A 21,633-nucleotide genomic window follows, 5' to 3' on the forward strand; every position below is an offset into this window, starting at 1 on the left:
CCAGACCCTGGCAGTAAACCAACCTCTCATCTCTACCCCCACCTGCTCTGGGGGTGGCCCTGTGCTTCCTGCAACCTGCTCTTCCCTGGTGGTCTTGAGTCCCCCCTGTGGTCCTGAGTCTTCCTGGCGGTCCTGAGTGCCCTGCCAGCAAGGTTTGTGTCAGGGCTCACAAGGACACCTCCTCATTGAGTCTTTCACAGTAATACTCAGCTGTGTCCTGGGCAGCCGTGGAGCTGAGCTTCACAGAGAACTGGCTCTTGGTTGAGTCATTGTTGATGGGGACATGGACCTGGGTGGAGGGAGCATGATGTGTATTCCTTGGTGATCGACTCTAGTAACTGTGCCCCAGCCATTCCAGCCTGTTGCCCAGGGGATGGTGGATTCAGCTCAAATAGTATCCATGGTAAAAAAGAATCCAGACACAGCACAGGTGGAGGGCAGTGTCTGAGGGCCTCATGGGTCCTGGACCTGACTCCTGCACCTGCACATGGGACAGGACACCTGCAATAAGAGGGAACATCCTGGTGAGTCACACAGAGAGCTCACTTGTCCCCATCAACCCTTTTTTAAATTCTAGATGTTCACCCTGCAAAGCTGTCAGCAAAGGAAGAAATATAAGTAGTTGATCTTCTTGAGAGAAAGAATAATGCCTTTCATGGGGAATTTGTTCCTTGGCTGATGACAGAGCGATATCTGGGGAGGAGAGAGGCTGACAACACCCAGCATTGTTGCTGGGGTATAAACAGAGTTTGAGGAGAACTGTGCATGTGCCAGGAGCCCCGCACACGGCCGACCTCTGTCTTGGAACCTCTTCCCAGGGATGATTTTCCTGCTCAGGGGTCAGATGACACAAACTCATTCCTCCTCTGAAAGAGCAGCCCTCTGCTGAGTGTCAAGGCATCCATTCTTACCCCAAGGGCAGGAAGGCAGGTGACAGAAACAAGCAGGTTTGCTGGACAGAGAGGAAAGGAAAGGGGTAGGAACTGGGGAAAAACCTTGTGCCAAAGACCTATGGCCTAAAGTCCCCCTGCTTCTTTTGGGGTCCCACCTGGAGCTGGAGATTCTCCATTGTGAACTTTCCTGGCACAGGAAAGTTCTTGAGGGAAAATTGAGAGAAATGCTGAGTGAGTTCTCCTCTTTGCTGAGCACAGAATTCTCACCCTCTGTTGTACATGGTGTTTTCCCTGCCCGGTTGAGTCACCGCTCCTGGTCCCCTCCCTGCTACTCCCCAGGTTTTGCTTCTTTGCTCATATGCTCATCCTTTTCTAGATTTCTCTTCATGGAGCCCCCATTGTAGTCTTGAGTGACAACATCACCCTAGTTCACAACACCTTAGCAGGCCTGAGGACTCCTTTTGTACCACTGTGAACACACACACACACACACACACACACACACGCACACCAGTTTCCCACATCCCCTTTCAATTTCATACAGGAAAACTCATGGCTGTGTTGGGGAAATCATTTGCATGGGCCATAGGAGCCACAATGAGGCATCATCTGTCTCTGAGAATACAGAATCTCCATGTCCAGGGAGGTGAGAGACTGCAGGTGCACAGAAGCCGAAGGTTTCAGGATCTGGGAGAGGAATCACAGGAGACCAAGTACAGCAGGACTGGGCAAGAGGACCAAAGCTCTGATGGTAGACTTTGAATGAGAAGGACAAGGTGCAGCCTGATCTTATGGCCTTTGTCCTTTCTGTTGATGTGATGTGTCACATTGATTGATTTCCATATGTTGGACCATCCTTGAATCACTGGGATAAACTGAACTTGGTCATGATGCATGATTTTTTTAATGTGTTGTTGAATTGTGTTTGCTAAGTTTTCCTTGAGGATTTTTGCATCTGTATTCATCAGAGATATTGGCCTGTAGTGTTTTTTATGTTTTTATTTGGTTTTCATTTCAGGGTAATACTGGTCTCATAGAGCAGGTTTGAAAGTACTCCCTCCTTCTCTACCTACTTTTTAATATTTTGAGGAGGATAGATATTGTTTCTTCTTTAAATGTTTGTCACAATTGTGCAATGAAGCCATTGAGTCCTGGGTTTTTTTTCTTTCCTGGAAGACCTTTTATTAATGCTTCAATTTTGTGACTTGTTATTGCCCTGTTCAGGGGTTAGTTTCCTGCTGGGCAACACCAGAGCCAAAGGGGATCTTGGGTCTAGGCTTTGTGCAGCCAGTATTGTGGCCTTTACCCACTTGTGTGTTTGATGGAATGGAAACAGAGGCCCAGTGTGGAGACATGCAATGACTACTGCCCCAAAGAAGGGCACCCTCCAGAAGTGTCTCTGGTCTCAAAGTTGTGACAGGCTATAGCATTTTGGCTAATGGGATGGGTGGTGGGCAAGGAGTACAGATTTTGCTCCGAATCTTGTGCAGTACAGATGCATGAATTCCTTCCAGCTCTCCAAGTTGAGCTCAGGGTTTGCAAGCCCTGTGAATTTATTTTGTAGTAAGGATTGTTGATATGTGTGATTGCAGTAGGGCCTGATGTGCTTCTTCTACTTAACTTTCCTCACCAGGGATAATTCCATGTGAATCTCGAGTATGAAGCTGCAGACACAGGGTGCTTTCACACAGCACTACTGGGCTTCTAATAACCACAGGGACCTCTCCTCTCCCCTGCTATCCTCTACATCTCCCTTTCATCAGCCCAGTCTAGTCTTAGCTGTTTATTCAATTCTGTCATTCTGTCATATGGGATTGACAAATGTCAGGCACATCTATTCAGCTGTCATGCTGATTTTTTTTTTAACTTTTACTTACATATTTATAGCTAACATGGACACTAAAATTGGTAATTCAAATTTATAACAAAATAGATTGAATTATGATTACCTTAGCATCAATAGTGCATACAAATCTGTGTCTCTACAGCTCTATCCATTTTCCCTTACTGTGTTATTACTATATATTAGTATTTTACAAATTATATGTATATTATTCACATGTATAATTAATATTATAGTACTTGATTTTCAAAATAATGGAGGAATGAAACATGAGACTCAGGGCAGAATAAAACGCTATTGGCGCTCACATACACAAATGTAATGACATTTCTGGGACACCTTCCTTGTTGCTGTTGTTCTTTTTAGGTGTAAGATTTTCTGCTCCTCTCCACTCTCCTTTCAGTTCTGTCTGTGGGACTCCATTTAGCATTTCTCATAAGGACTGTCTAGGTTTCATGAACTCCATCAGCGTTTGTTTATTTATATTCACCTTAATTTCTCCTTCACTTTTGAAGGTTTCTTAGAAAGTGTATAATTCTTGATTGACAGTGTATTTCAGCCTTTTGATATGCCACCTCAATGAGTTTTTGTCTTCATGAATTTGGTGAGAAATCAGTTGTTTATTTTATGAAGGTTTTATTATAGGCAACGCTTCTTTCTCAGGTTCTGACACTCAAACATACTTGGTATTTTCAGACATGTGACACTGAGGTCAAGAGATGAATCTCTGGCTAGGTGCGGTGGCTCATGCCTGTAATCCCAGCACTCTGGGAGGCCAAGGCGGGCAGATTACAAGGTCAAGAGATCAAGACCATCCTGGCCAACATGGTGAAATCCCATCTCTACTAAAAATACAAAAATTAGCTGGGCATGGTGGCACACACCTGTAGTCCCAGCTACTCAGGAGGCTGAGGCAGGAGAATCGCTTGAACCCCGGAGGCAGAGGTTGCAGTGAGCTGAGATCACGCCACTGCACTCCAGCCTGGCGACAGAGCAAGACTCCATTTAAAAATAAATAAATAAACAAAAGAGCCTGGGCACAGTGGTTCATGCCTGTAATCCCAGTACTTTGGTAGGCCAAGGCGGGAGGATCACCTGAGGTCAAGAGAGACCATCCTGGCCAGCATGGTGAAACCCCATCTCTAATAAAAGTACAAAAATTAGCTAGGCATGGTGGAACATGCCTGTAATCCCAGCTACTCAGGAGCCTGAGGTGGGAGAATAACTTGAACCAGAGAGGCAGAGGTTGCAGTGAGCTGAGATCATGACACTGCACTCCAGCCTGGGTAACAAGAGTGAAACTCCGCCTCAAAAAAAAAAAGTCTCTAAAAGCATGCATACTAACAATCCACATGCATATAAACATGCTCACAGACTCACACACACTGTCAACACCCTCATATGTAGAGTCACAGGTAATGACCCACACACACACACACGGGGCACACACTCACCAAGTAATGCAAAGAGCACACACACACTCAAATATTCCTGGTCACACTAGCATCAAATCAACTATATTCACTTCTGAAAGGTAAGTAAATCTTGGGACCCTAAGATCACACAGCTGAAGAGAAAAGTCAAGTTAGAAACTACTAGGGCAAACTTGTCTACTACTCTATTCAAAGTCATCCATCTGCTCACAGAGATAAAAGCATATCTGATTGAGTCTTTTGGAAAAGCTAATCAGAAACTCAAAAGAATGCAACCCTTTGTCTCTCACCTACATATGGAAACCCCCTTCAAGTTTTCACACCTTTCTGGAATGAATCAATGTATTTTTTTTCTTAAGACAGAGTCTTGCTCTGTCACCCAGTCTGGAGTGCAGTGGCACGATCTCGGCTCACTGCAATCTCCACCTCCCAGGTTCAAGCAATTCTCCTGCCTCAGCCTCCCAAGTAGCTGGGACTGCAGGCGTGCATCACCACACCCAGCTAATTTCTGTATTTTCAGTAGAGATGGGGTTTCACCATGTTGACCAGGCTGGTGTGGAATTCCTGACATCAAATGATCTGCCCACCTCGGCCTCCCAAAGTGCTGGGATTACAGGCATGAGCCACTGCACCAGGCCAACCAATGTACATCTTACACATATTGTTTGATGTCTCATGTCTTCCTAAAATGTATAAAACCAAGCTGTGTCCTGACCACCTTGGGCTCATGTCATCAGAACCTCCCGAGGCTGTGTCACAGGTGTGTGTCCTTAACTTTGGCAAAACAAACTTCCTAAATTGCCTGACACCTATCTCAGATACTTTGTATTCACCCAGTCAAGTATGCAACTCACACATACTCAGGAAAATTAACATTCATGCAAATTGATAGGCTCAAATATTGAAGAACGCACTCACACACACTCAAAATAGCATACGCTTTTACAAACTAACAGAAACACACAAACAAGTTCTCCCACACACTTGGTCGAAGATATAGTGTAACAATCACAAACTAAGTAACTCATTTTAATATAAAACACAGGCACACACAAGCTCACACCCTCACACACACACATTCACAAACACACAGACACAGTTGTATGCATCATCCCACTTACACACAATGTTCTACAGTGACACACAGACAAACATTGAGACTATTCCATGACCAGGGGCTTGAGACAGTAGCTGTCTCAGTCTCCATGGACATCACACTGTCTCAGAGGCTCAAGGTTTGCTTTCTACTACAGCAGGTAGCCCTGAAATTTCCCTAGATGTTAATGATTGTGTCTTCCCTTCCACCATCTAGATTCTCCTCAGAGATGGCCAGGACTCCAGAGTTCAGGTTCTCACATGTTGTGTGGCTTTTGGGCTAAAACACACCTGAAACACTGAGTGGCTGTTGTCCTTGATCACTTGATCATCATCTGCATTTTGGTTGATGCATTTTTTTACCTCATTTGAATAAAATAAAAGAAATTAATTGACTCTACCTGGGCCAAATGGACTTCTTTCTGTTTCTCTTGGTAGCTGCAAATGTAGCCCCAAATATGACAGGATCCAATAAACACTGCAGCTCTTAAAACACTTTCTTGGTCAGCTGGTCTAACAGCATAAGGACCTCAGGAGAACAATTATATTATGGGTCTAATTCTGTACCCACTGCAGACCAGTTTATTTTTATAGACCAGCAGCTCCAGTCTATCACAACCTATGATTATCCAGATGGAAGGAAACAGTCTTCAAATTTTTATGACAGATGCGGTAAGATAAACTGATATTTCTGTCATTTGTTTTCTAGGCCCAGGTCTTGTAGCTCCTGGCCATGGGGCACTGTGGTGCTCTCTGATTTGGGGCATTTGAAGGATACTGGAAAATAGTATTGTCCTCAAAACTGACTTTCTTTAGAGACTAATTTTTCTACTATGAAACAGTGGCATAAAACATCTGGTATAATACTCATATGGGACTGGAGAGACTGAAGTCAATTCTCCCATTGTTCTCCTGGGTCTCTGTCTGGGCAACTGTGAAAAGACAAAGCACTGCTGGATCCCTGCTCATGTTCTTACGATCACGTCTCCTATCCCTAACAACAGCTACATTCCTTTGTGTCAGATCATAATATGCAGTCTCTCATACTGGGAAATAAGATATCCAGAACTTGGACAGTGGCGTTAGCAGGTTCTCTATGGAAAAAAAAGAAACCACAAAACCTAAAAACATCCCATGTGAAGATAGGAGTCAGTTTCTCATTATAAATTACTACCTATCAAGTTTGGGCTTTATCTAAATTATTCAAATTGTCCCCATATGGCTGGTGGATATCCTTAAAGGGTGTCATTTTTTGTTAGACAAATGTGATATCTATCACTATCAGCTCAGGCACTCGCTGAGAGGTGCTAGGTTAGTCTGGTGGAAGGTATCTGTGCTGAGTCTTCATTGTACATGTTAGGGAAAGTTTTGATATAAAGAGAGAGGAGACTATAACTTGCGTAGCAGTATTAATTAAACTGAAGAAGATAATCATACTATGAGTTCCCCATACTCACTTACCCAGGATAATGGATTTCCCTTTTCTTCAGCTGTTGGCTTACTTACCTTAAATATTACTGCATTTACTTTTATTTACAATGTTTTTTTATCTTAGGTTATTGCCTGATTAAAGTAAGCACAAGTAAAATTTAAAATTAACAATCAATCACCTGTAGAAATAACATAAAATGGGCATGGTGAAATTTAAGGAGAGATGCCAGAATTAAACAAATAAAGAAACACATTGTGTAAGTTAGAGTGGTCAGTGAGGACTGAAATGATGAGAAGCTGGTGCTGAATGATATATGAAGAACGTCAAATATACTTGATATTCAGAATGCTGGTCACAACAGTGAAAAAATCTGTAGAGTGGTCTGCGCAGATAAGAAATTAGAAAGTGATAAAGTCACAAACTTGCAACACCAGGAGACATGCAATATATTCAGTATTCAGCTCTCTCTGTCCTCTAGGAAAAATAGGTTATAACTGCATGGAAAATGAGACAAGTAGTTTTTAAGATAATTCTCGAGAAAAATTGCTAATAAAGTGACTCAGATGATGTTCCGACACAGGATTGTGGAGGGGACGTTGACCTGTGGTGGTCACTGTCAGCTATACGGGATGGTCAACTTGGCGGTCTCCTTTGCCAATTTTTTGTCCACAAGAGAGATTACACTGTCATGTGCTATGTTGCAGATGAGTTTCTTAACCTCACACCATGAGAGGAACATGAGAACAAAGAAGATGAGAAAACTGAAGACCACACTACATCAACTACATTCCACTGATGAGCACTCGTCACACAGAGGCCCAGGGATGAGCAGGGAAGACGAAGGGGCTGGGAAATATCATCCGCAAAGGGACACCCTCCAGCCTGCTTGACCTCCCCATGCACGGAGGGGTGAAATGTTTGTTCTCAGCTAATGGTGGCTATGTCAGGACCTCCACAAGCTTTGAGAAATACAGATTTGTATGAACAAATGCCCATACTTTATTCGGAGGGAATTTTTTACTCATAATTTATTTCCTCTCCTTAGCAAGCACCGCAGAAGGATGTTTCCATGATTCTCCCTAATCCTTCCTCAGTTCCTGGTGCAGTTCCTGGAGGAAAAGCCTGCATCGGGGAGGGAGCCCTCCTCATGTGCAGCCCTGAGGCTGTCCCATCACCTCACCCACCATTGCCCTTCAGTCACTTTTTAAACATTCCAAACTAATTTTCCTGAAATGTGTAGTATTTGGCAGTGTCTTTCCCAGATAAGAAAATACTTAAGTTCTGTTTATCCCTGCAGGCGCATATCCATTTTTGGAGCTCAGGTTGTTTTTGAATGATTAGTAGTGGATAATTAGTGGGAGGAGGTTTGTGTGCATCTTGTCATCTTCCAGAGTGCACCCCAACATGGCATTGACACTGGCAAGCAAGCAGATGGGCTTGCTCAGCTGGAGAATGGCAGACATTATTATAACCTGTGACCCCAATGAGGCTCTCCCTCTACAAGCCCAATCAGGCTCATGCCTCTTGACAACGTGCAGCCAGCACAGGACACCAGTGTCCACCTCAGTGAGGGGCCTTCCAGGTGCCCACCTCCTTCCTAAGGGGGAGCTTTTGTCCCTGCCTGGATCCCATGCATGTGCTTGCATTTGCTGCAAAAAGGGATTCATCCATAAACATGCCCCATGAGCCTACAGTGTAGGTAATCCATCTACAGGGCCTCATACATGACATCTCTCATGGTCAAGGTCTCCACTTCTTATTAAAGAACATTCATTGTAGAATTCACTAGAACTTGCTGGACTTTTAGAGGCATGGATAGGAATACCCTTACCCACTTTCCCTCTAATATCATTCCTAGAAACCCTCTGAAAATACCTCTGGTGCTCCAAGATAATTTATGTTTGTTACACCACGGGATCACCAGGAAAAGAAAGAACCAAAGTGTCCATGTAGGTTCATCATTTGTAACTTGCTGATATGACTCTGGTGCAGGATGCAGATAGTGGAGAAGGCTGTGCCTGTGTTGGATGGGGATTCCTGGGAGCTCTGGTACTTTCTGTTCAAGTTCACTGTTATCCTAAAACCACTCTAAAATAAATTTTATGCAACAACAGTAGCAGAGACATTCTTGGAAGACATTTTGGACATTTTTCAGAATCATACTTAGTCTTACCATGTGATCAAATAATCTTGCTCAAATTATTCATCCATCTAATTTGAAAACTTGTTCACAATAATATATTCATGGGAATGTTTGTATCAGCTTTATTGATATGGTTTGACTGTATCCCCACCCAAATCTCATCTTGAGTTTTAATAATTCCCATGTGTCAAGGGTGGGGTCAGGTGGACGTAATTGAATCATGGGGGCGGTTTCCCCCATACTGTTCTCGTGGTAGTGAATATGTCTCATGAGATCTGACAGTTTTATAAACAGGAGTTCCCCTGGCACAAGGTGTCTCTTGCCTGCTGCCGTGTAAGACATCAGTTTACTCTTCCTTCATCTTCTTCCATGATTATGAGACCACCTCAGCCATGTGGAACTATGATTCCATTAAACCACTTTTCTTTATAAATTATTTGGTCTCAGGTATGTCTTTATTAGCAGCATGATAATGGACTAATACAGGGCCTTTCCTAATCTTTGAATTTTCTGTATACGGTGACTCTTGAATAAAATATTTATTATAAAATTAGAGTGTGTCCTTGTTTCTATTGATCCTTGTCCTCAGTTACTTGACCCATTTTCTAAACAACTTTAAACCTCATCTTCCCTGTCATCTCCTCTGCAGGAACACAGCTGCCTCCTCCCTGCAATTTCTGACACTCTCAGGATGTGGGTTTTCACATTGTGTCTCTCACACAGTAATACATGGCCGTGTCCTCAGATCTCAGGCTGCTTAGCTCCATGTAGGCTGTGCCCATGGATGTGTCCCTGGTTATGGTGACTCTGCCCTGGAACTTCTGTGCATAGCTTGTGCTGCCATCACTAGGGCACACCAATCCCATCCACTCAAGCCCTTGTGCATGGGCCTGGCACACCCAGTGCATACAGTAGCTGGTGAAGGTGTATCCAGAAGCCTTGCAGGAGATCCTCACTGAGGCCCCAGGCTTCTTCACCTCAGCCCCAGACTGCATCAGCTGTACCTGGGACTGGGCACCTGTGGAGAGGACACAGGAGTGGATAAAACCCCCTTTGACTGGACCCAGTCACCTTAGTCCTGGGGACTGAGAATTATCCTACCTGCAGCTATGACCACCAAAAACAGGATCCTCCAAGTCCAGCCCATGGTGAGGAGCTGTGCTCTCAGGGGCTTCTCTAGAGGACGTGTGTGGTTATTGGGTGATGCTCTCAGGGCGCAGACATATCTGTAGTGTTCACCTCAGGTGATTTGCATATTCACAAGAACTACTACTTCATAGCCTTACACTTGATCCAGCATGAGAAAGAGAAAATAGATCTCACATGAGCCACACAACTGTGGGATGCTGAGGTGCAAGTCCTCATTCTTATTTAATGTCGTGTTTCCCTTTATATGCCCAGAACTTTGTGAAGGGAGAACTTCTCCACTAAGAAGGTGACTCACACAGGACATAGCACATGGACAGCCTCCACTCTTTCTAGGTTTTGCTGTCTGCAGTCTTACTCTTGGGATCTATGTGTCTTCTGAAATGTGTACATTTTGATTTAATAAAATCATCCCTGTTCTTCATCTTTTTACTAGGAAAATATCTCAAACCTGTAATAATTTTGCCTTTTAAATGTGGTTCTCACTGAATTGTTGATTTATTTATTTCTAAATGTATAGAGATAATAGAAATAGTCTTTGCAAAATTCTAATTTTAACATGTTATAATTTTTTGATTTTCAATAAAACAACACTCAGTTCTCAGAGAAATCCCCTCTGCAGCCTCATGTGCACCAGCTCTGGGGCTGGAGCCTGCTCTGGGTGGGTCCTGGGTGCCCCCTGCAGCACTGCCTCTGCCCTGCATGGAGGTTTCCATCTGGGCTCACAGAGGATTTATCTCTCAGTGTTTCTAGGGCTATAGGAAGAGGTCATGCCCTAGTTTAAAATGCTCCTTCAGTGACACCATATGTTACTGACACCATCTTTTGAAAACATTGACCTTAGGAGACCCAGTGAACTCTAAGAAACCATCAGGGAGCCCCTCCCTGGAGCTCAGGATGCATTTAATCAGTGGACACATTGTAAGCACAAAAATTTTGAAGGGTTTTCGGGGATGCTTTATCTTGTTTGGTCTCCTGCAATTGAATATTACATCTAAGAATACCTGTAGGTATATATACTTGTGGATGAATGCCCACTCCATGTCTTCTTTTTCAATAACACACACACACACACACACACACACACACACATACAAACACACACAGAACTAGTTGATTTTTACAACAGTGGGCCTCTAACTTGCCATTTTTTCTAGTATCTTGCAAATGGGGAGCACCCCCTACATGGATACTAGACCTGAGTATATGACTTCCTTCTCCAAACAGAAGTAAGGAAAACAGTACAGAATTGGAGACGTAGCAAGTGTACATTCATCATGTTTGCATATTGTCACCTGAGAATACTGCAATTTCCCTAAGAGAAGTGACTCTGTGTCCACCAAGGGTTGAGTGACCCCGTTCATCAAGCTGTTGGTGTCAGAAGCTTCCAGTTGCTCTACTGTCCTTGAATTTTTTCTCCCATTGTCTTTACATTTCCCTATATAGAGTCTCTGCATTGCCACACTCATCTTCAATATAGATTAATTATGCTGATGAGAAGGTAATGTGTGAGGATTGTATTTTTTTTCTTTTCTTACAACTATAGGCTTTTTCATTCAGTTAAGAGGTAAACAGATTAACATTGGAGACTATTCCATTTAACTAGCCCAAGTTCCTATTCCACTTTATATATCCCTCCCACACTGCCATACATCTTGAAGAAATGACTGCCAAAAGACTTTGCTTCTAACTTCTTAGCAATAACCTTCAATGAATTGCTTTCAAATAAGTTATTCCTAACTTAAAATTTTATTGTGTTCAAAGAAACTCGTCCCTCTAAGAGGCTTCCACATATGCCAATAGAACGTTCCACCACTGACAGGAGGGCAGAGTACCAATTATTCTAATTACAGGAGCTACTCCAAGGAAAGCTTCAGTGATATTTGCGTTGTCAGATTCAGTGCTTGTTAGGGCAGAAGATGGTGAGACTAACAATGCAGAGCACACTCTGTCAAATGACTGCATGTTTGGCTGTTTTAAAAAAATCTTTGGTTATCTTTAGAGACAACATTTTAAACATAATGGAATTGAAGCCTGATACAAAATGTATAGAAACATGCACAGGAATAGACAGCCAAGAAGCAAAGTGGAACTCAGTGGAAACCTGGCTACATTACATAGCTCGTTTTGAACCTAACCATATTTATCACCAAACAACTGTAGCACAATAACACTTTCCTTCTCTGGCTCCCAAATTTAAGTAGACTCGTGTCAGCCTTCCCTAACACTGTAATCATTCTTTGAGAGGGCCGGAATATGTAAGGTAGTCCCAAACATTGACAAAAATGTTAATGTCAAACAGCTTCACACTGTGAGGATGACATACTTGAAGACAGCCAAGATGGCAGCACTGACAATTCCAGAAATAAAGACTGTGACAAACCAGGCTATACAATATCACGAAAGAGTCAAGTCAACAACTTTCTTGGATTAAAGCCAGGTACAAAGGAGCCCATGTTACAACGTGTTGTACTGATGGGGAGGCCGATATTTGATGCAATCACCATAGTGAGGGGGCAGGAGCCAGTCCAGTACCGAAGGCACGAGAGGGTGTTACAGTGTCAGATTCTTCCCCATGGCCTGAATCACTCTCCTCCAAACCCACAGACTAATGCAGATTCCAACACCACCAGAGAGCAGAAGCCATACTGGCATCACCACTCTTGAGGAAACATTTCCCATGTTATAAACCAGATACAAAGCCACGAGAGAATTTATTACATTGCTGATGTCATTACCACCATAGGGTAATGACCTCAATCAGGCAATAAGAAGTTGCAGGAACTGGAAGAGGAGAGATAGTTCAAGCTTATCTTGGCCATACAATTCTTCTCAAGAACCACTACTTCCTTTTCTCTCGCCTAGACCCATCTCCACCTTGATACTCATGATTATCTTCGATCCTGAGAAGGTCAGAGACAGCATTGTAGTAACCAGTGTAACTGTCCATTCAAAATTACTTCTTGGGGACTGCATTGGACCATGTAAGATTCTCCATTTCCTTACCCTTCTGAGGAACTTCTTTGGCATGAAATGAGTCTAGAAGTGTGCCACATATTGTCATGATATAGGAAAAACAGCTATTATTGCACCGTAAGTGTTTGCCACCAAATCTCCCATGCCGTCTTCCACTATGGCAATGTGCAACTTATAGAGAAGCTCTTGTACCAGAACCTTTAGGCATGGGGTAATATGCATAGTGGCCACTAAAGCCACCTGGCTGTTGATGGCTTGATTGAACTGGACCAAGTTTCTTAGAATTTCATCTCAGTGATTTTGTTATCTTCTGTTTCTTGGCTGTGACCTTTACAAGGAGTTTCCTCTAATAAAGCTGATATTTGTCTATTATGTCCTTCCCTGTCTGCAGCATCTCAGGACTATTTTTGCTCAATCTTACCCTACTGGCACATCCTTTTGTTCAATCTTACCATACTGGCAATCACTTGCCTAATAAAGGAAGGCTGGGAAGAGGGTTCTACAATGGCAGTGAAGTACCTTTCACCATGTAGATAAATTATTATAAATGTTCTTCCCGTGGGTGGTCTATCTGGAGAAGGTTCTGGGTAAAGGTGTTAGAGATTAGGTCTCTCAATGACTGACCCAACTCACAAGGAATTTATGTGAATTCTAAATTAAAAATGTGGAGGTTCATGGAGCAAATGAGGGGCACCCAGAATATCTCATCCTAATAATAGTACAAACCTGTCCTTTAAGTTATTTTAGTTTAGATTTATATATAACAAATCAAACAGCCAGGGTCATTTAAATAGTAACATGCTCAAACATATTAGGGCAACAGCTGAATATAATAATCAAATTGAAATCAAGCAAATCTGGGAGCAAACTAATGTTTTTCATAGTTCAGAACAGCTTTATTAACTCAATTAACTTGTAATCCCAGGAGTCTGGGAGGCCAACTTGGGCAGATCACCTGAGGTCAGGAGTTTGACACCAGCCTGACCAACATGGCAAAACACCGTCTCTACTAAAAAATACAAAAATTAACTGGGTGCCGTGGCATGCACCTGTAATCCCAGCTACTTGGGAGGCTAGGGTGGAGAATTGCTTGAACACAGGAGGTGGATATTGCAGAGCCAAGACCGCACCACTGCACTCCAGCCTGGGAGACAGAGCGAGACTCCATCTAAGAAATAAAAAATTTAAAAAAATTAATAAAAATGCTTCCAACACTGACCTTAATCCTGGTTATATTTACGGTTGTTGTTGTTTGTTGTTGTTGTTTTGTTTTTTCAAACAGAGCTAAAGCAAGCTCAGTACTCCTGGAGATTTGGAAAGTGTCTTCGCCTTGTTTTTGCCCGTTCTCACCTGGGAACCCTGTGGATGCCCCATGAGAGGTAAATCTAAGGCCATTGACAGAGGGGCCATGGCCTTGGTCCTGAAGCTGTTGGTCTCAGAAGCTTTAAACCGCTTCACTGTCCTTAACTTATCCTCTCCCTCTGCCTTTGGTTTTCCTAAGTTCTAGTCCTTGGACAGAGTCTGTGCATTGCCACACTTTTCTCTTTAATCCAGATTGATCATACTGGTGAAGAGGTAATGTCATGGGCAGGGGAGCAGTATATGTACTGGAAATTGAATTTCAATGTTTTCTTGATGTTTTTTCTCTAGACTGTGCCCTTTACAAGGAGTCTCTAGTGGTACAGCTGATTTTCCTCCATCATTCTACTCCCCCCTCCTGGCTGCAGCATCCACATATTATTGTCTTGAACTTGACCCCCAGTTGTTTTATTAATTTTGCCCCTTTTTATGACACAGGAAGACTAAGATGAAACTGCCTGGGATGGAAAAGAATACCTTCCCCTCACATAGAATAGAGATCTTGAAAAGCATTTTTTCTTTATAGGATCTGTCTGGAGGAAGTTCTGAGCATATTTATCAGAGAATAGCTCTCCTGATGACAGAGCCATGAGGGAATGTTTGGATTATCATCCTGAGAACCCAGAAGTTTCTGGAGGGAAATTCCATCAAAGTGTGGGGTGTGCAGCCCCCAGGAGTTCTTACCCTATCCCTGTCCACACCTGTCCACCAGAAATTTACTGAATTACCATGTAACTGTTCCCACCAGCTTGCACTTTCAACGGAAGAGTCACACAATTTATAAATTTAGAAAGGAGATTTTACTTCCGATAAATGATTGAAGCTGCAGGACAGCCATCTTAACAGGCTGGGAAGCAAAGCTTCCCACAGAGACAGTGAGCAGGCACTTCAAGAGAGGGAAAGAGGATAAATGAATTCATGCAAATGGATAAGCCAAGTGTACACATTCAGCAGACTATAGGAGGATCTATTGATATTCACATAGTGGGCAGGCTCTCATGTCTAATAAGCAAACACACGTTACATGCACTTAGTGTTTGCTTTGGGGGTGAGGACTTAAGAACTAAATGAATGAAAATTGGGCCCTGTTCATCAAAAGGGCTTTGTGCAGGGGCTGAAAGATACACACTGCACAGTCTCTGTAAATTGCCAAGACAAGTTCATGGTCAGTGGTCTCTTCTCAGAAGACAGTTACTGAAATCTGTCTCTTGTCCAATCAAAGCTCTATTTATGGCTTGTGGAACAGGGTCACAGTTACCACATGTTTGGAGTTCCATGAGCTGCAAATGTTTTAATATGCTTACCTCAGAACCAGTGCTTGTTTAGGTGCTACAGAAAACAAAAAAGCCCTGTGGAAGTTACAATATAGTCATTTTTTTAAGTGTAGGGGTGAGTGACTTAATCCATGACTTTAGGCCTTGTTTATAATTTGGTATCTTATTGCCACAGAACTTTGATCCATCAGTCTGATTATCTCTATTTTAATGTCTTTCTAGTTTTGGGGGTCCTGGTTTTCCCTGCAATTTCATTTCTTCAACAGATTCAAGAAATTATTGATAATCAATTTTCCAGGCTTTTATTATTGTAAGAAAGTGGGTGATGTTTGACATGCTTTTTACATATTGAAGCAGAAACCAGAAGCAGCTTCAGAGATCACCAGTGACCTGACACAAGCAGCAGGAATCTCATCTCATTAAGTGTAAGTGGCACCACACAGATATAGCTGAACATGCAGGGACACAGAAGACCCATTCCACAGGACACCCCCCAAAATTACAGTGAATCTAATGGAATTATAGAAAAACATACATGATGTGCATCATGACCAAGGTCTCCACTTCTCATCAAAGGACATTCCTTATGGGATTCACCAGAACTTGCTTTCTTTCCATAGACATGGATATACTGCTAAACACTTAGGGACCTTACCCTCTGGGAAGGGACATAGTAAATCAGGAGTCACAGAATGTATAGGAAAATATCCGTTTTATGAATCCTCTAAAAAACAGCCCAAATATGAATAGCCCCACCCACTTTTCCTCTGAACTGGCATCATTCCCAGGAACCCACTTGTAGTGTTATACCCAAACGAGTTAGAGAAAATGCAACACTTTGAGACGAATTAAGAGTCCTTTATTTAAGCTGGCGGCCAAAGAGACAGCTAACGCTCAGAATTCTCTCGGCCCTGAGGAAGGGGCTTGATTAACTTTTATATCTTGGTTTAGGAAGGGGAGGGGAACTCAAATACAATAATTCTATAGAAGTAAAAACATGCAAGAATCAAAAGAAGCAAATGGTTACAGAGTGATAAACAATTTAAAAGACAAATGGTTACAAAAAGCAACAGTACCAGGTGCAGGGCTCTAAATCCTTGATTTGAGTTATATATAGATGCTATGCTGGGCACGAACTCAAGGCTTTATGTTGTTATCTCTTTGAGAAAAATCCTGGTAACTTCATACATTGTTTGTTCCAGTACCTTATCAGTTAATTGGGCTCCTTTGAAATGCTGAGGATCTGTTTACATAGGTTAACTCCTTGAAGAAGGGGGTTGGATAAGGAGCCTTAATGTCTTGTAAATCAAAAGATCAAATGGAGTTTGTCCGGCTTTCCCAGCCAGGGAGAGTCTATTCATATGGGAAACGTGGCTGGCAATTAAGGAGACAAAAGAAGGGAAAACTTAAAGTAGCAAGCTAGAGTAAAAAACAAGGTTAGGCATTACAGCAGAACCTATGGTGCTTCAAGATAATTTGGGCTTGGTATGCCAAGAGACCACCAGAAGAGGAAAGAACAAATCTGCCCATGTAAGTTCATCCATTGTAACTTATTGATGACTCTGGGGCAGGATGGTGACAGTGGGGAAGGCTGTGCATGGTGAAGCAGGGGCACATGAGAACTCTCTGCACCTTCTGTTCAATTTTGCTGTGGTCTTAAAACTACTTTTTAATACATTTTATGTAAAAGGAGTGGCAGAGACAATTTGGAGTGCATTTTGGCCAGTTTTTAGGAATCATATTTAGTCTTAGCCATGTTACCAGCAATCTTGTTCCAAATTATTTATCTATCTGATTTTAAAACCTATGTCTGCACAAGGCCTCCATGGGATTCTTTGCATCAGCCTCACTGATTGCTGTCTTTACCACTCTGAATTTTGCATATAGGGTGACAGCTGAAAGAAACATTTCCTATATAGAGTGCATCCATGTTTCTATTACATTCCTCAGTTGCTCAGCTCATTTTCTAAACAACTTTAAACATTGTAAGCCCTGTAATCTCCTCAAATTCACTGCAGCTGCCTCCTCCCTGGGGTTTCTGACACCCTCAGGATGTGGGTTTTCACACTGTGTCTCTCGCACAGTAATACACGGCCATGTCGTCAGATCTCAGGCTGCTCAGCTCCATGTAGGCTGTGCTCGTGGATGTGTCTCTGGTCATGGTGACTCTGCCCTGGAGCTTCTGTGGGTAGTTTGTGTTACCATTGTAAGTGTTGATCCATCCCATCCACTCAAGCCCTTGTTCAGGGGCCTGTCACACCCAGTGCATATAGTAGCTGGTAAAGGTGTAACCAGAAGCCTTGCAGGAGACCTTCACTGAGGCTCTAGGCTTCTTCACCTCAGCTCCAGACTGCACCAGCTGCACCTGGGAGTGGGCACCTGTGGAGAAGACACAGGAGTGGGTGAAGTCTCACATGACTGGCCTGGTTTCTCCCTCAGCCCTGGGACTGGGGAGTCCCTTACCTGTTGCTGCTGCCACCAAGAAAAGGATGCTCCAGGTCCAGTCCATGGTGAGGAGCTGTGATCTAGGGGATTCTCCCAAGGAGGGGTGTGGTTGTTGTGTGATGCTCTCAGGGCACAGAGATATCTATATTCACCTCAGTTATTTGCATATTCATGAAGGATGCTATTTAATAGCCCAATTCCTGCCCCAGGATGAGAAAGAGCAAATACATGACACATGGACGACACAATTGTAGAAGCTGAGGGTTCAAGCCGTAATCCTGTTAGAGGCGATGCGACCCCTACACATCCCTGAACTCTGTGTTGACAGAGATTCCCCCACTGGAGAACAAGCTCCCCCAGGACACGCACCTCACTTTGAACCCACATTTGACTGTCTCATGGGCAACTTGAATCATTTCTAGACCTTAATATGTGAATGTGCTATTTTGGGAATGAGTGTGTTTCTCCAAAAATTGCACTTATTTATAAGAAAGGATCTCCTCCAGACCTCCAGCTGCTTACTATTAAGATGTCTAGGGGAGTTTGAAATCCTCATTGTAAAAGTGGTTCTCATTACAACATCGAGTTTCATAAATGCTGACAATTAAATAGGGTATTTATGTGAACATCAGCAGTCTTTCTGAAATACTTATTTTAGATTTTTTAAAGGAAGTCCCAGGCCCTAAGAGGAACCTCTCCCCAGCCTCCTGCGCTCCTGCTCTGGGGCGGAAGCCTGTGCTCGGTGTGTCCTGAGCGCCCCCTGCAGCCCCGCCCCGCCCCTGCAGGGAGGTTCCTGTCTGAGCTCACAGAGTATATTCCTACCAGTGTCTCCAGCCAAGTATAAAGTGGCTGTGCCCTGGCTCAGAATTCTCCTTTAGTGACAGCCTGTGCTTCTCACACCATTTTTTGAAATAGTGAATTGGCCTTAGGAAACCCAGAGAACTTTGCAGAGAGACCCCAAGTAAGATCTCATGCATCACCAGGGAGACCTTTCCTGGAGCTCAAGAGGCACTGAATCATTGGACACACGGTGAATCCAAAAAGTCTTCAGGGGTTTGGGGGGGCTCTTATTTCCTTTAGGGTCCTGAAGTTGATTATTGCACCTGAGAACACTGGCAGGTGCAGGTTGATAGAAGCCCACTCCAACTCTACTATTCAACTCACACGCGCGCACACACACACACACACACACAATGGCTAATTTTCACATTAATGGGCCCTATGTTTACCCTATTTTTCTGGTATCCGTGTTAAGGAAAGCACTCCCTACACTGGCACTAAGGCTGCATATGTGTCTACTTTCTGCAAATAGAAGTAAAGATATCAGAATGCAAGTGGACACTTCGGAAGTACATGCGCATTGAATTAATTTTTTTCACTTTGGAACCATGCAGATGCCACAGGAAAAGTAAATTTGAGGCCAATGAGGGTGAAATCATTTCCTTTGTGCTGAAGTTCCTGGTATCAGAGGCTTCGAATTCTTCTATTTTCCTTAACATATTTCTCCTATTTCCTCCTCAGAGTTTGTGCATTGCCACACTCTCGTATTTAATCCATGTTGACTAAACTGGTGAGACGTAATGTGTGGAACACGGAAGCATTACATGTTCTTACAGTTGAATCTTAATGCTGTGGTGGTCTTCTTCCTCTGGGCTGTGCCCTATACAGGAAGTCTCCAGAGGTGAAGCTGATTTTTGCTCTTTTCTGGCTGGAACATCACAGGAAATTTTCCTTAAATTTACATCTATTGGCTAATTTTACCCATTTTCATGATAAAGGAAGGCTGCTAGTATGGGCTTGTAATGGGGATGGATTACCTTTCCCCACATAGATGAGGATCTAAAAATGCCTTTCCCATGGTTTGTGGGTCTGAAGAAAGTCTGGGTGTATTTATTAGAGATTTGGTTTCCTGGAAATAGAGCCATGAAGGGATCTATGTGGATTCTCACCCTGAGAACTTGGAGGTTCCTGGAGGAAAGGGCGATAAGAGTATGGGGGTGGGGTTCCCAAGATCTCTCACCCTCATGCTAGTCCAGACATGCCTTTTATGTTTATTTAGTTCAGATTTTCATATAACAAACCACACAGCCAGGCTCATTTAAATTCCCCATACTCAGTCCATATTGGAGCAGGAGCTGAGTATAATAATTACGTTGAACTCAGACAAACCTGGGCCAAATCCAATTTTTCCTATAGCTCAGAGCAGCTTTCCTGACTCACTTAATTTGGAGATTATTTCTTCCCTGAAAGAACTGTAAGGGTTGCTGTGGAGCCTCTGTGGGTTTGGAATTTTTTGCATCAGCCTATCCTGTAGGGTATTCTGTACAATGTAGACCTTTATACTTAGATGGTAATTATTCCTAATGGCATGGAAATAGCTGGCAGCCCTCAATCCTGTTTCTTTCTTCTGTTCACCTGAATGTTTACAAGAATCCCATGAACCTCAGGACTCCCCTTCATGGATGACTCTGAAGATTGTAGACTCAGTGCTACAGACAGAGAGAGCTAAGGGAGGATACTCAGTTCACTGATATGTTTGGCCAGCAACATAGGATACATCCAAGAATGAATCACTTTTGTCAATGCCAATAAATAATAAATTCAAGAGTCATGACTTTCAGTATATCAGAGTTAAAATTTTCATGATTCTTGACAATGAGGCTCAAACTTGATGGTTTGCAGAAGAAATGAGCTCATCATTGTTAGAAAGAAGCCTTTTCCTAGGAAGCCAGTCTTTTAAACTAAAGTGCCAGAGAGTTTAGTTTCACAATAGATAAATTGTGAAAATTTATCTATTGGAGAAAAATAAAATCAGGAAAACTGGTCTCAAATAATTGAAAGAAAGCTTATAAGAAATTTTTATTAACACAGCCATGAAACTCCAGTTAGTCAAATTTTTTGGTTCATTTGTTACAACTCAAGAAGCAATTCAGAAGTCTACACAATTGGAAGCCTACTCCAACAGAGATAATTTTTCCTGATGTGAAAAACAGACCAGTATTTATAAAGAAAGAGTTCCCCATGAGATCTACAACTTACACAGATTTCTGTAACCTGAAGAAGTTTTGCTAAAAGGATTATCCTCTAGATATCTATGTATGCAAAAATATATTGCATATATTTGTATAAGATTAATCTGTACCAGCCCTTGGCACATTAAACAAACTTCATGTAGACATGATAACTTTATCACTTACTGTGCACTCACACTTTACTGGTTTCAGAAGTTCATCACCCTTGTGAGGCAGCAATAAGTTCCTTTGAGAATATGCTGTTGCTTCAAGTGAACATGTTCTAGATCCTCACTTGACTTCATCATTTCATATTGAGTGTAGGTGGGTCTATGACTGAAAACCCAACATTTTTATGCAACAGATTCTCCTCTTATGAGATCATCCTGAAACCTGCCAACAGCCTCCATCATGTATGCTTCCAATGTTTTGCTTTTAGGAAATAAGAGGTAAATTCATAATCCATCCAAGCTTTAAGGTGAGAATCCTTCCTGGCCTTCCATCATATTTAGTAGAAACTCTCATTGAGAGCCATAAGCAAATGCTGTTTATGGATCATAACTCAAAACCAAAACTGTTTTTC

The 21,633-nt window shown here is 42.7% G+C and overlaps 3 pseudogenes; all 3 read right to left on the reverse strand.

Moving 5' to 3' along the window:
• Window positions 9,541-9,986, reverse strand: IGHV1OR15-9 (immunoglobulin heavy variable 1/OR15-9 (non-functional); annotated as a pseudogene).
• On the reverse strand, window positions 11,515-13,250 carry SLC20A1P3 (solute carrier family 20 member 1 pseudogene 3; annotated as a pseudogene).
• IGHV1OR15-2 (immunoglobulin heavy variable 1/OR15-2 (pseudogene)) lies at window positions 17,624-18,190 on the reverse strand (annotated as a pseudogene).

This window comes from Homo sapiens, chromosome 15 (assembly GCF_000001405.40).
Source record: "Homo sapiens chromosome 15, GRCh38.p14 Primary Assembly".
Classification (NCBI taxonomy): domain Eukaryota; kingdom Metazoa; phylum Chordata; class Mammalia; order Primates; family Hominidae; genus Homo; species Homo sapiens.